The following is a 13,613-nucleotide window of genomic DNA, read 5'->3' on the forward strand; positions in this document are numbered from 1 at the left end:
AAACTCCACCTTCCTCTCTTTTGGTGCTCTTCACCTTTCCACCTGTGATGGAAGCCGCTTCTGCGCAGGGCTCCTCTCCCCCTCTCTCCCATCTTCTCCTGGTCAGCGGGGGCTGTGGGGGAGAATTTTGCCTCCTGGAGAGCTTGGCACATACTGGACACCCAACCGAGGACAGCGGCGCCTTCCTGCTAACCTCTCCTGTCAAGGACTGCTTATTACCAAGGGGCAAGGACGACTCCTTTATATGTCACCTCAGGGCAGCATTTAAGTCAAGATTTAAAATTCTCGATGCTGCACAGGAGAAGTCACTGGGACAAACAATTTCCTTTGGAAGTTACAGTTTGATGCCTTTCAGCGAGTTAAGCAGACACTGAGCCCACCCTGAACTCTAACTGTAGGCCCCCCCTTTTTTAAAACAAACAAACAAATAAAAACCTAGCATTATGGGCACATAGATCATGGCTATAAAGAGCCACAATGGAAACCCCCCAAAAGCCAGCTCAATTATCAGCATCAAAACTGCTGAGCATTTAAAGGAGCATCTCGACGAAGGTAATTATGGGACCAGCATCATTCTGCTCATTCTCAGTCCTTCAGCCTATACAGCGCACTCTGAGATGATGTTTTCCTCTTGTTTATTTAGTTGATCTCCAAGAGCAGGGAGGATTTATCCCCACTAATCCGTGGACCATAAATCCAGCTCAGGCGGGCTGCAGCCCCGTCCTGCTTGGCCCCAAGCTCAGATGCCCAGTGGAAAACATCACAGTGATTGGGTGAGGGCAGCACATCACGCTCACTGTTCTCATTCTGGCCGGGAGATTCCTTGGCACAACTTGTCCCAAATTCCATTACAGCAACGTGATGGAAATTTCCTGGCATCAAGGATTTGTGCAGCCCAGTGTGCACACAGTGAGCATTTGACTCTGCATAGCAAAAATGACACAATCTGTATAGAGCTGTGTGGTTAGTAAAATGCTTTCACATCCCATCCCAGGTCTTTTTGATTCTCAGAACTATCTGTGAGGTAGCCAGGGCAACTGTCAAATGCAGTATAATTAGAGTTCTTTGGTGGCAAGTAACAGCAACTGATTTTTGCTAACTTTAGCAAAAAAGGAATTTATTGGGGGAGGGAGGATATAGAGGGACTCATATAGTTGAAGGATCAGCTAAAGAACCAGGCTGAGATAAATCGGCTTATATTGTCCATCCTTGGGACCCTATGCTCATGAGTCAAATGAGCTGGGAGAAATTCCAAGAGGCCCAGCATGGGTCAGCACCTGTCCCCTGTGTAGGGTGGGGTCTCTTTGCTGATAGAGGCCTGCCAGGAGGATCAACAGTGGAGGGTTATTGGGGCCAGAGCTGAGGGAGTTTATTCTCAAAATGAATCTGAGATTCTCTTATCAGGTTAAGGAGGTCGATAGGTCGAAACCGACCATGTGTATCATCACCTCCACTTTGCAGATAAGGAAATCAAGATGCCAAGAAGTTCAGTGATTTATCCAGAAAGCCACAAATGTGAAGCTAAGGCTTTAATTCAAGCCATCTGACTGAAGTCCAGTGAGCTCCCAGCCTGCGTTCTGAATTTATTGTGGAAACAATGCAAGATCAGCAAAGACCACTTTGAAGATACCCATCAAGCCACCGGTGTAACATTTGCCCATTTCTTCCCAGACTTGCCCTCAGTTCATTTTCTTTGTCATCCAGTTTCAGTCCCAGTGTCCCTGTGCCCTGCCCACTCATCCGCATTCTCCTCGGACTGGTATCTTCGGCAGGCTTTGGTTTTATGGTGCAAATGGCAAACCACCAACAGCAGAAGGAAGTTTTGTTTGGAGTCAGGGGATGCCTTGTAAGTTACAGAAATTTACAAGGGCAAAGGCAGCCATGTGCTCAAGATTTAAACTTCCTCTAGATGCTTCTTGACAGAAACCATTGGGACAAGTCTTCAACTTCTGAAATTATATTTTGAAGGCAGTGCCACACTTTTGCTGAGGGTGAGTGGGTGGATTACTACATGAAGGGACAGTAGGAGATGCCTCTGTTAATGGATTATTCTTTCATGGGGTTATCCACACAAAAACAACACAACTCAATGTCAAGTGCCTTTTAGGCCTCCCTTTAATTTTAAGGATCTGAAGAAGGAGGTAGCAGATGGAGACACTGAGCCACAGAGCCACACACCTACAGCCATATGATAAATCAGCCATGAGTCCAGAGAACCAAGTCTACTTTTCCTGATTCCAGAGGCTCTGGATGAAGTCAAAGCAATTGTGTTCCAGGTGCTTGTTGCTGTTTTCAAGATGAGTGCACAGCCAACATTGGTGCCTCGATGGGCCTATCTCCTTCCTGGAATGGTAAGCCACAGTACCCGTCCCAAAAGGATGAGCTCTGAGAGGAGCTGAGCGTACAGGGACTCTGAGACAGAGCCCCAGCATTGTGGAAAATGTGATGGCTAGAATCTGAGGACACCTGGGACTGTTATGTTTAAACTGCCAACAGCTCTTCTGTTTTTCTAGGTGGAAGTTTGGGTTATTCTTTCCAATTACTTCTTTGGGGGAAAAGACTTCAAAGGGCCTTTGGTTGCATCCTACAGTACATCGGGGAGCAGCCACAGTCACATGGAGGTGAAGAACCCTTTCCTTATGTTCTGTTCAGTTCTTGCCTATGGCCAAGCTAAGCCCTGTTGGATCTGGGCCAGAGCCAGGTGATATTTACTGCCCTACACACACTTTTGGCTCCCATGCACCTCGGTCAAGGGTCCCTGCCCTCTTGACCAGGGCGGTGATGGGGCTCATGGAGTGGTGCAGTGCCCTGGTCAGCTGGTATCTCAATGGCCTGGACTCTGGAGGGAAGGTCCTGGGTGCCTCCTTTCTTTCTTGCCCATTGTTGGGGAACAGACCTTGCGGGATGGGCTCTCTTGGCTCCTAGCTTGGGATTTTGGATGAAAGGCTTGGACCTCTGCTCCACGAGTGGTGAATTGTAATTCTGATTTAAATATGATCAGATATTTTAGAGCCGTATGAAGGGAAGAAAGAAGTGCATTTATGATCCAGTTCTTAAAATAAGAAACTTGAACTTACTAGTCTGATAGCATGGACTGACATAATTGCATTCTGCAGATCATCATGCAGAGCTGGTTTAGATAAGGTATCTTTTCTCCCCCTTGCTGATTTTTGGAGAGGGAGAGGCCCTGGACACTGGTAGAGGCACCATTATAAAAGCACTCAGAGGCGGGTCGCAGTGTCACATGCCTGTAATCCGAGCATTTTGGGAGGCTGAGGTGAGAGGATTGCTTGAGCCCAGGAGTTCGAAGCTACAGTGAGCTATGATTGTGCCACTTCACTCCAGCCTGGGAGACAGAGCAAATGAGACCCTGTCTCAAAAAATTTTTTTTTAAATAATAAAAGCATTCTGAAAGAGTGGTGGTGGGTAAATCACACAATTCGTCTTTCTAATTGGGAAACTCATTGGGTGAAAGGGGCAGCTGGAAACAACCAGTCCAGGATATATCGGATGATAGCTGGACTGTAACTGCCATGCAAGCTGAGATACTGGAGGGCTGGGGACCCTATGGACACTGTTTGCAGCTGTATCTGGCATTCATTTTTAATATATTTCTTTTCTCCTCTTTTTTGTCATTCCCCCTGTTATCCACAAGTCCTCAATATATTTTTGTAGAAGTTACAGCCCGATCTTAGTGCTGGGAAAATCGAGGGAGGGGCTTGTGTCCATGGTAGCAGGAAAGGATACAGGAACAGGGACAGAGCCTGGGGAAACCGCTGTGATAGCAGGCAGTGGGGTGCACGTCCTCCTTGTGATGAGGCAGCCAGCCGAGGAGACCAATGACAGCAGCCTGGACCCACGGGCTCTGCAGATCTTCTATGGGCGTCCCAGAGCCCTTTTGGAGGGAACTTGGTGAAGGATGGGGTTCCCTGCATGTAAGTGTGGAGTGGGGGCTGGACTGTCGTTATCTGGGCATTGAGGGCCATATGGATAGCACAGAACCAAAGGGACAAATGGCCACTAGACTACCCTATGACTTGGCTCTGATGACTCCCAGACACCGTGCCATTCTCCTTGCTCCGCCTTATCTTCTGAGAGTCCTGGCATGGCTCCCTGACCCTCCACCTCGTCCGTGTTACTCTACAATGACAGGCCACAATGAGGACACAGAGTCAGCAGAGGGCCAGGCAGCTGTTCACCTCTCCCATCACACCCAGGTAAAACTCCAGCTCATGTTGGCCCACCTCCTGGAAAAGTCTCTCTGTCAACAGCATTTCAGGATCTCGTATTCAGAAGACAACAGCTTTAGCGAGGAGGGCACTGTGACTGCAGGTGGGCATCTGTGCTTCCGCCCGTGTGGGACCCCTGGGACACTTACGCTGGGGGAGGATGTGGTTAGTGGCCACACAAATGCCTAAATCCAAAGACATTGGAAAGTGAATTAATTCACTAAAAAATAGGTTGTTTCTTTAGTGAATAAAATAACTTAGATACTCCTGGATACTTCATTGAGTCATATTTTGGATGTTTATTTTTATTTATTGATGTTCCTATACCACAGGGATGGACACGGTGGCTCACACCTGTAATTCCAGCACTTTGGGAGGCCAAGGCAGGTAGATTGCTTAAGTCCAGGAGTTCAACACCTGTCTGGGCAACATGGTGAAACTTTGTCTCTACAAAAAATAAAAAAATTAGCTGGGTGTGGCAGCTTGCGCCTGTAGTTCCAGCTACTTGGGAGGATGAGGTGGGAGGATCACCTGAACCCGGGGAAGTCAAGGCTGCAGTAAGCCATGATCGTGCCACTGCATTCCAGCCTGGGCGGCAGAGCAAGACCGTGTATCAAAAAAATAAAAAATAAAACTGAATTCACTCAAAAATAGGTTGCTTCTTCTTTAGTAGATAAAATAACTTAGAGACTTCATTGAATCATATTTTAGATCTTTATTTTTATTTATTGATGTTCTTATGCCACAAATTATTGTGAGTCCATTTACCAAAATCTCACAACACAAAAGGAAAAAACAGTTGGAGTTAGAGTGACCATAAAATAAGAGATAAAATAAAGGACACCAAGACCAAGAATGGGGAACTGCTCATCTTCCAAATGGAAAAGCGCCCAGACAGCAAGCCCTTGGTGGCAACGCAGTGCATTGAAGGGTTTGTTCTTGGCTCTCTGGTGAGGCTTCCTAAACATCTCCATCAGGGATGAGGGTCTCAACGTTTGCCTCCAAAAGTTTTTCAGAACTAGACAAGTCCTCCTGCCTCCATAGTGACTGCCCCAAGTTGCCTCCGTTCCTCCTGCCTGGGCAGTTAAAGTCGATATTCCCTGACTCAGTCTTTTATCTCTCGTAACCTAAGTACTCCCGGGTTGAGTTCAGCTATTCTGGTCATGATCTGACTCTTATTTTGTCCTCTTTCCTGAGCTCTAGGCTCCAATTTCAAACTTCTTGCAGCTAGTTCCGCCTCTGGGCCCTGCAGACATCTACTTATCAAATGGAACTGAACTGTGTTTCTGCATGTCTATTTTTTCATGTTGGTGAATGACATTTTCTGTCTGGAATGCCTCACGCCCTTGCTTTTCTGCCTAGGAAATCACTATCGATCTTTTAAGCCCTTCTTAAATGTCACCATGTCTCTGCTGCCCTCTGAGTCATCAGGATGAAGTATCCACACTCTCCTCTGTTCCCGTGGCACGGGGGCTCTCCTGCCATCATCGGCCTTTAGGGGCTGCCATCATTTGTCTGCCTTCCTTTATTTTTTTTGAGACAGAGTCTCACTCTGTCACCCAGGCTGGAGTGCAATGGCCCAATCTCGGCTCACTGCAACCTCTGCCTCCCGGGTTCAAGTGATTCTCCTGCCTCAGCCTTCCGAGTAGCTGGAATTACAGGTGTGCACCACCATGACCAGCTAATTTTTTTTTATTATTAGTAGAGACGGGGTTTCATCATGTTGGCCAGGCTGGTCTGAAACTCTTGACCTCAGGTGATCTGCCCGCTTCGGCCTCCCAAAGTGCTGGGATTACAAGCGTGAGCTACTGTGCCTGGCCTGTCTGCCTGTCTTATTCTAGAGCAAGGGCAGGCTTGCTTTGATGGAATACACACACAGACTGGGAGCTGGCACTGTGCTTACTAGCTTACTAGCACTCCAGACATGCTTGTGGATGAATGCATGAGCAGTCAAGGCAAACTCTTTCCTGACTGGCAGGAAAACAGTCACTGTGAAGTACAGTGTGCCCCACCTGGGGAGGCAGAGCAGAGATGGCTTCTCATCCTAGTGGGCAGGAGCATCTGCAGGAAGCAGGAACAGAGCATCCTGCAGAGGCCACTGTAAGAACAGGCAGAGCAGAGTATGTTGTTTGTGTCTGACCTCAGGGAAGAACTACAGAGAATGAATGCTGTGCTCCAAAACTTGGCGGTCGAAATTATTTGCCTCAACTATGATAAAAAGTTTGCCTGCAGCTGGTCAGTGCCCTGCTGTCTTCACCTCTGAAACATCCCAGGAGCACTTGAAACTGGTTGTGTTCTGGGAGATTACTCAAGGCAATTTCTCCCTAAGCCTGGGAAAACACGAGGGCTCAATTAAGCAAAACACTGATAGATAAGTTAAGAATGTAAAGGAAAAACTAAGAGCTTTATGTCAATGATTAAGTATTTCTGTTTCTTTAAAGCTTGCCCCGTATTATGCAAATACATTACAGTTAAGTGTTGGCTACATAACATTGGAAGAGGATGTGGTTAATGGCAAAACAAATCCCCAAAGAAAAAAAAAGTTGAAAAGCTGATTCATCTTAAAAATATTTCAGATGACTTAAAATATTTAAGGTTCATTTTGGACTTTTTGACAAGTAAAGACCCAAATATGAGCAAATTAAACCATTAAGGCTCTTTCAGTATGGAATGACAAAAAGTGAAAAAGGGTAAGACCACCAGGTTGTTAAAATCATGAGAAGCTTAGATTGGGCAAAGGTTCAGTCTGGAGGCCACAGTAAAGGAATATACCCGAAGACAAGAAGGTAGTTAGTGTCAGGGCCTATAAAAATGTTTAAAAGTGTTGAGTAAAATAATGTTTTATAGAGTACATTACTATAAATACATATAAGAAGGCCAAGTAGGGGATTCCAAGTTATGTCTGGGTGGCATTACTGAATTTTGTAAGAAGTGACAGAATACCGTACTGGGTGAACCATCCCTTCCATAGCTTGCCTGGCATTTCTCAAGTGTGAATGCAGTTCACTCAAGTTCCTGGGGTGTCCCAGAAAGATGCGTATGTTTTGAAATTTATTAGGAGATTGAAAAACTCCTGATGAGTGGTCATTGTAAATCAGAAGTGCTTTCAGCATGGATGGGTGAGGAGCATGGGATTAAGTAGGGACCTCTGTCCTAGTATTATTTTCTCTGTTGAATTCATCCTACCAGTTGCTGAGCTCTTTATTTGCACACATCAGCCTTTTAGGAAGGATCTCCAGGAATCCTGTGGGGAGAGGCTGGTGCTGGGGGAAGACAGAGGAATGCCTGGAGAGGACAGAAGTGAGGTAGGTCAAGGTAGAGGGGGTTGCAGGAAGAAGATGGGGTGTCCAGGGTGAAGGAGAGCTAGCAACGAGAGCAGAAGCCACGGCCCACTGACGGTCGCTCCGGGCCAGGCTTCTGTTCTGTGGGTACACGGTTTATTTCAGGGGCTGATTCTCTTTAGACTCAGTTTTTTTTCTCTCCTTCTTCTGATTGGAAGAAGTTTAATTCCGTGTTCATTTCCAATTCTTGCATTCAAGCTTATAATTTATCATTAAAAAACAACGACAACAATAAAAAAGGCAAGGCATACAGAAGGGACTCCAGGCAGACATTGCAGCAGGGCAGGGCAGTGAAGGGACGCCACGTTTGGCGAGGCCTTCTGTGTGCCCAGCTGCACATGGCCACCTGGCCAGTGTGCATCGTGTGCAGTAAATGTGTCAAGTGCACTGCTGCACGAACCATCAGATGCTGAAAAATCTTGTCAAGTAGAACTTTCTCTATCCCCATTGTATAGATGAATGAACAGAGCTAGGAGGAGTTGAGTAACTTGCTCATGGTCACAAAACTGAGAAGGGCAGAGCTGGCCGGCACCTGTGTTAACTACTGCACTCAGGCTAGAAAAGGCATTCTAATCAATTAGGACCTGGGGACTAATCTGAAATCTCTAATTCATAGTGAAATCCCTGGTGAAATTTAGAAGGAGATTGGACATAGGCCTGAAGGAACATTGGCTCAACCGCCTTCAGGAAGGTCAGTCTATGTAAGCCAGTTAAAGAATATGTTATGAACCACACACCAGTCCAACAAAGGCCATGGTGTGATTGTGAAGGGATGCTGGCTCCAGCCTCAGCAGCTCAGTTTGGACTTGGCTTTGTGGCTGGGTGTGCTCTGTGATCAGGGAAGTCTGCAGCCAGGGAATCCTCTGGGCCTTTCTAGACATCTCAGCAACCTTTTAGATAAATGGGGCATTGGCTTTGTTTGATGCTAAACATTTACTTTGATTGCTTTCATTGATAGCATAGGGCTTCTCCTATTTTATCTTGGCTGTTCTAAGAATGTCTGGAATGGGGCCGGGCGCGGTGGCTTACGCCTGTAATCCCAGCACTTTGGGAGGCCGAGGTAGGTGGATCATGAGGTCAGGAGATTGAGACCATCCTGGCTAACATAGTGAAACCCTGTCTCTACTAAAAATACAAAAAATTAGCCGGGCGCAGTGGCGGGCACCTGTAGTCCCAGCTACTCGGGAGGGTGAGGCAGGAGAATGGCGTGAACCCGGGAGGCAGAGCTTGCAGTGAGCCGAGATCGCACCACTGCACTCCAGCCTGGGCGACAGAGTGAGACTCCGTCTCGAAAAAAAAAAAAAAAGAATGTCTGGAATGTTCAGTAGAATTCAATTATTTGAATAATGTTTATGTGTGTCCTCTGTGTGCCAAGCGCTGGGTTAGAGTCAAATGTGAGCAGTGCGTACTCCAGCACTGTCCCGTAGAACCACCTATGATGACAGAAAAGCTCTGTATCTGCACTGTCCAATACAGTAGTTACTAGCCGCATGCAGCTAGGATGACCAAGGGGCTGCACTTTAGTAAACTTTAATGAATATAAATGCAAATCGCCACATGTGTCTGGGGCTACCCTATTGGACAGCACAGGGCTGGATTAATCTTGGGTTGTATTTTGAAAAATTGCAAACTCAAAAAATATTACATATACTGGAAATATAATGTACAATTGTTAAAATTTTAGTAAAATTATATATTATACACTGATATATTGTTGTAATAAAGGTAAATAGAATTTCTATGTATTGATTTATTCAGACATTTAGGTGGTGTCTTCTATGTGACAGGCACTGTGCTAGATTCTGTGAGAATGCAAAAATGACTTGTAAGACAGTTCATGTTTTTAAGAAACTCACAGCTTTGTAGATAAGTGTCTACACTCACACATGTACACTTACACACCCACACATATGAATACCAGGTAACAAACTGCCTAATGCCCTTAGGTAAGCATGCCTCACAACCATCAGATCACTGACAATAGCCGTCATCAGATCCAGAGGACACATGTGCATTTCTTTTTAAGAACAAAAAGTTGATCTCATGGAAGTAAAAAGTAGAACAGAGGACACTAGAGGCTGGGAGGAGTAGAAGGATAGGTAAGGTAGGGAGACATTTGTTAAAGGATATAAAATTATATCTACATAAAAGGAATAAGTTCTGGTGTTCTGTAGCACTATAGGATGACTGTATTTAACCATAATATATTATATCATTTCAAATAGCTAGAAGGATACTGAATGTTCCCAACACAAAGAAATGATAAGTATTTGAGACGATGGATATGCTAATTACCCTGACCTGAGCACTATAGCTTCTATGTATCCAAACATCCCTATATACCCCATAAATAGGTACAATTATTATATGTCAAATTAAAAAATACTTAAAAAATCAAGAGGGGGATAAAAAAGAACTAGGAAACCTTTCCTAGAAGTCCCCCAGCTGACTTCCTTTCATATTTCTTTGGTAGAATTTCTACGCATGTCCATGCCTAAACCTATCCCAGACAAGAGGAATGGAATTGTCATGATTGGCTTAGGCCAGTCAGGATTTAGCTCCTCTTTTATGGATGGATACCTGAACAAAAATCAGGGTTCTGTTAGCAAGGAACAGGGGCGGTGGAATAGAATTGCACAGGCAGTCACTGTCCCTCTGAAAATTTACCCATCCTCCAAATCAGAAGGAGCCTCTCCATTCATGACACCCCACTCATTCCTCTATGACAGCACTCACAGAAGAGAGTGTGTTAATGTGTTTGCTCAAGGGCCTGATTTCCTGTTAAGGATTGTGTAACCACAACGCACTCTTCTCTATTAAACTGAGAGCTCGTTGATGGGGTAGGGCAAGTCTCATTCATCTTTGAAAACGTGGCACTCAGCGTAGTAGTTCCTGGCATATCCACAGCTCAATAAATATTTGTTAGATCGAATATACATTTGTTCAAGAGCAACTCAATTAATATCTTCTTTCTTCATTTGTTTTTCAAAGACTACACCTGTTGGTCTGGATTGCAGCTGGAATTGGAAGGGAAATGCATTTCCATTGAAGGAAGAAGTGTAACAGTGAGCAGGCAGGTGTCAGCGGATCTCAAGAGAATAATGTCAACTGGACAATGGCTTAGAGGCAGGAGGAGGCAGATCAGCTAGGCAGATGTGCAGAAGTTAAGTGTGGTTTCATGCAGAAACTTCCAAATGGATTCAAGAGCCAAAGCCTTCAAGAAGTTGGTGTCATTGTCACTTGGAATATGTTTGTATTAATACAGGTAGAATATGTTAATAAACCATATTCTTATCAAGAATCTTCCATTTACAGCCCTTATTTTCTCCCTTTATTTTTGCCCTTTCTTTTCTGCCTGGCTGTTTAACTCCTGGATATCTGATTTAACTACATCTGCAGCTTCTCACTGATATGTTTATGGGTATCAGATGCCTATATTGCGATTGCTTTTCCTGTCTCTGGGAATTAGATGTGATCCATGTACACCTTTGCTCTGAGTTAGATCTTAGAAAGCAATGGACCTGGGCCTCATTATCTCAGCTCTCCACAGAAAAGCATCTAACAAATTGAGACTTAATGTTACATCTTCAGCTTTGTGGAGGGAAGCTGACATAGAAATGTGCTTTTGAAGAACAAACCTGGGTATTTTGCAAAAGCATAGTGGAAGACTTTATCCATCATATTACTCGAAGTCCTTTTCACAATAACCTGCAGGACAGAAAAAAATGTTTGTTTCTCCAAATTAACCTTCAATTGGCCTATCGATGTCAAGCATATCCCACCCCTACTGTCACCAGGGACTTAGGACTGGGTTTTGCCCCAGTGGTGGCATTTATCCGATCCTGGTGCTTGGTGGCATCCATTTATTTGCTCCTTTCAACTGATTTTGATTCTGTTTTTATTATTTAATTTTCTGTTTTATATTGTGGTTAATTTTCTGAGTTGCCTCAAATGTTTATGTTTGAGTGTATTTTTTTTCTTACTTACCTATACCCATCTACCTCCCACCTACCCACCCACTTACCTACCTATGTTCCTGGCTATTTATATGGTGCATAATCTCTATCAGCCCAGGCTTCTTTAAAGTACCTGCATGTTCTTTTCCTTTTTCTTCTTTGACCAGATCATACCTACAAATAATACAGAGGATTCAGAGATGGGAGTTCCAGAGACGTGGGTCTGATTCCAGCTTTGCCTCCTGCTAAATATCTAATCCTGGGCAAGTCATGTAGTCTCTAGGTGTTCCAGTTTGGCCAACTTTAAAATGGGAATAATTCTGTCTACTTCACTTATCTCATACAGCCAGAGTGAGGACATTCATATTTTGGCATATAATATAATAAGGTTGTAGATAAAGCGTTTATTAGGATAAAGTCTTTGGCTAATAGGTTGGACAGACCAGTTGACCTCCTAAGGGTATCATCATAAGAACTCGAAGGTCTTATTCAAGTGTTTCCCTCCAATAATTCTCACATTTCCACCTTTAGATCTTTTATTAAGGATCCTGTGGGAAATGTGTATTTCATAGGTTATTAACCCAACGAAGTCAGATTTCTATTTCAATCTACTTATTTCACATTTTTGTTAAAACTTTTGAAGAAAATGAATTTCTTATTGAATTCATTTTAGACTGCTGTTAGCTCAGATTCACTTTGTGAGTTAGAATGCCTCTTAGAAATATATAACACACAGGGAAAAACTTTTGGGTGAGTCTTTCTTTTTTGATAGTACCACATGAGTCCGCAGTTTGCTGATCCCCATGAACATGGACTTAATCTTCTTTAGATGCTTTAGGACATGTGGTTATGCAGTCAGGGAGCTGAGATCTGGGGCAGGAGGGTGTAGGAAAAATAAGTGATCGTGGGGAGTGGAATCAGAAGACAGAGTGGGGGAAGGATGTTTCTGGAGCACTTTGTGTTCAGTCGCAGACCGGTGAGGCCCAGGAGAACTTTCTCCAGCTGAGGAGGCCCAGGTGAACTTTCTCCATGTGGGGAGCTGTTGAGAACTTGAGCTTCCAGCATAAACACAGGCTGAACCTGGCTTTGGCGAATGTGGGCCTCCAGCCCATTTACAAAATGTCACACTTTTTGTATGGCTTGGAGGAGACTCAGAAGTGACTTAGGAATTCCATGGAGCCCTGATGTAGCCATTGGCAGTTCCCAAGCAGGAAGCCAGTCCCTCCATTTCTTCCCAAAATTCTCCCAACCACACCCTGCCTCACCTCCTGGCTGGGACATCTATTACTATGATCATTTTACTGGTGAGAAAAATGGGGTGCTAGAAAGGTTACCTGACTTGCTGAAATTCACACACGAGTTAATGGTGGGGCTGGTGCTGGAGCCAATGTTGGGCCTCATAAACTCCTACAAAGTGTGCTAAGACTGGCCACTCTTTCCTGCAGGCCGTCCTCAGGGTAGTTCATGTAGCTGATGACCTTGAGAAATGAGGTAATGTCTTCCTTCATCCCCAAAGAGCAGACTTTCTTACTGTTTGCTATAAAAGCAGTGGATTCCCCAAACTCAGTGTTCCTCGGCTGTGACACAAACCGCCTTCATGTGTGTATTAGTTAATCTGAGCCTGTTGGGTCACTTCTGTGGAACTCAAGGGCAAGGGTAACTGATGAAATATGCTTGTGTTCATCTTGCTTGCTACGTTACCAGTCCTGTATTTCAGATCCAGAAGTCTCATGTCTTCTGCCAGCATCTGTGAAACAGGCTAATACTGTCTTATAAGTTGGATAAAATAAAATTTAAGACCTGACCCCCAGCTTCCTGAGTCCTGGCTGGAGCTTTCCCACCATAGCACTCAGCTTACGTAACCCAATCCAAGAGGAAGAAATGATGGTGGCATTGCTAGCTTTGATCCAAGTTTTTCTTTCTTTCTTTCTTTCTTTTTTTTTTAACACTTCTCTGGGCCCGGGCTGCTGTTACCAGGCCTTCAGTAGATGTGGATAACAGGTAGGTGACTGGCTTGCTGGTAAGCAGAGATCCCTGGAAACCAACCCAGGCCAGGCCAGGGCAGGAGCAAAAAGGAAGAGCAAGAG

At 44.7% G+C, this 13,613-nt stretch overlaps 1 long non-coding RNA gene across 1 annotated transcript; it reads left to right on the plus strand.

Annotated features, from left to right (window-relative positions):
* Positions 1–7,291: 7,291 nt before the first annotated feature.
* Positions 7,292–10,871, plus strand: LOC124904246 (uncharacterized). Its single transcript, XR_007066285.1, has 2 exons — positions 7,292–7,534; positions 10,562–10,871. It is a non-coding gene; the product is annotated as an uncharacterized LOC124904246 (long non-coding RNA).
* The last annotated feature ends 2,742 nt before the right edge of the window (positions 10,872–13,613 follow it).

This window comes from Homo sapiens, chromosome 18 (assembly GCF_000001405.40).
Source record: "Homo sapiens chromosome 18, GRCh38.p14 Primary Assembly".
NCBI lineage: Eukaryota > Metazoa > Chordata > Mammalia > Primates > Hominidae > Homo > Homo sapiens.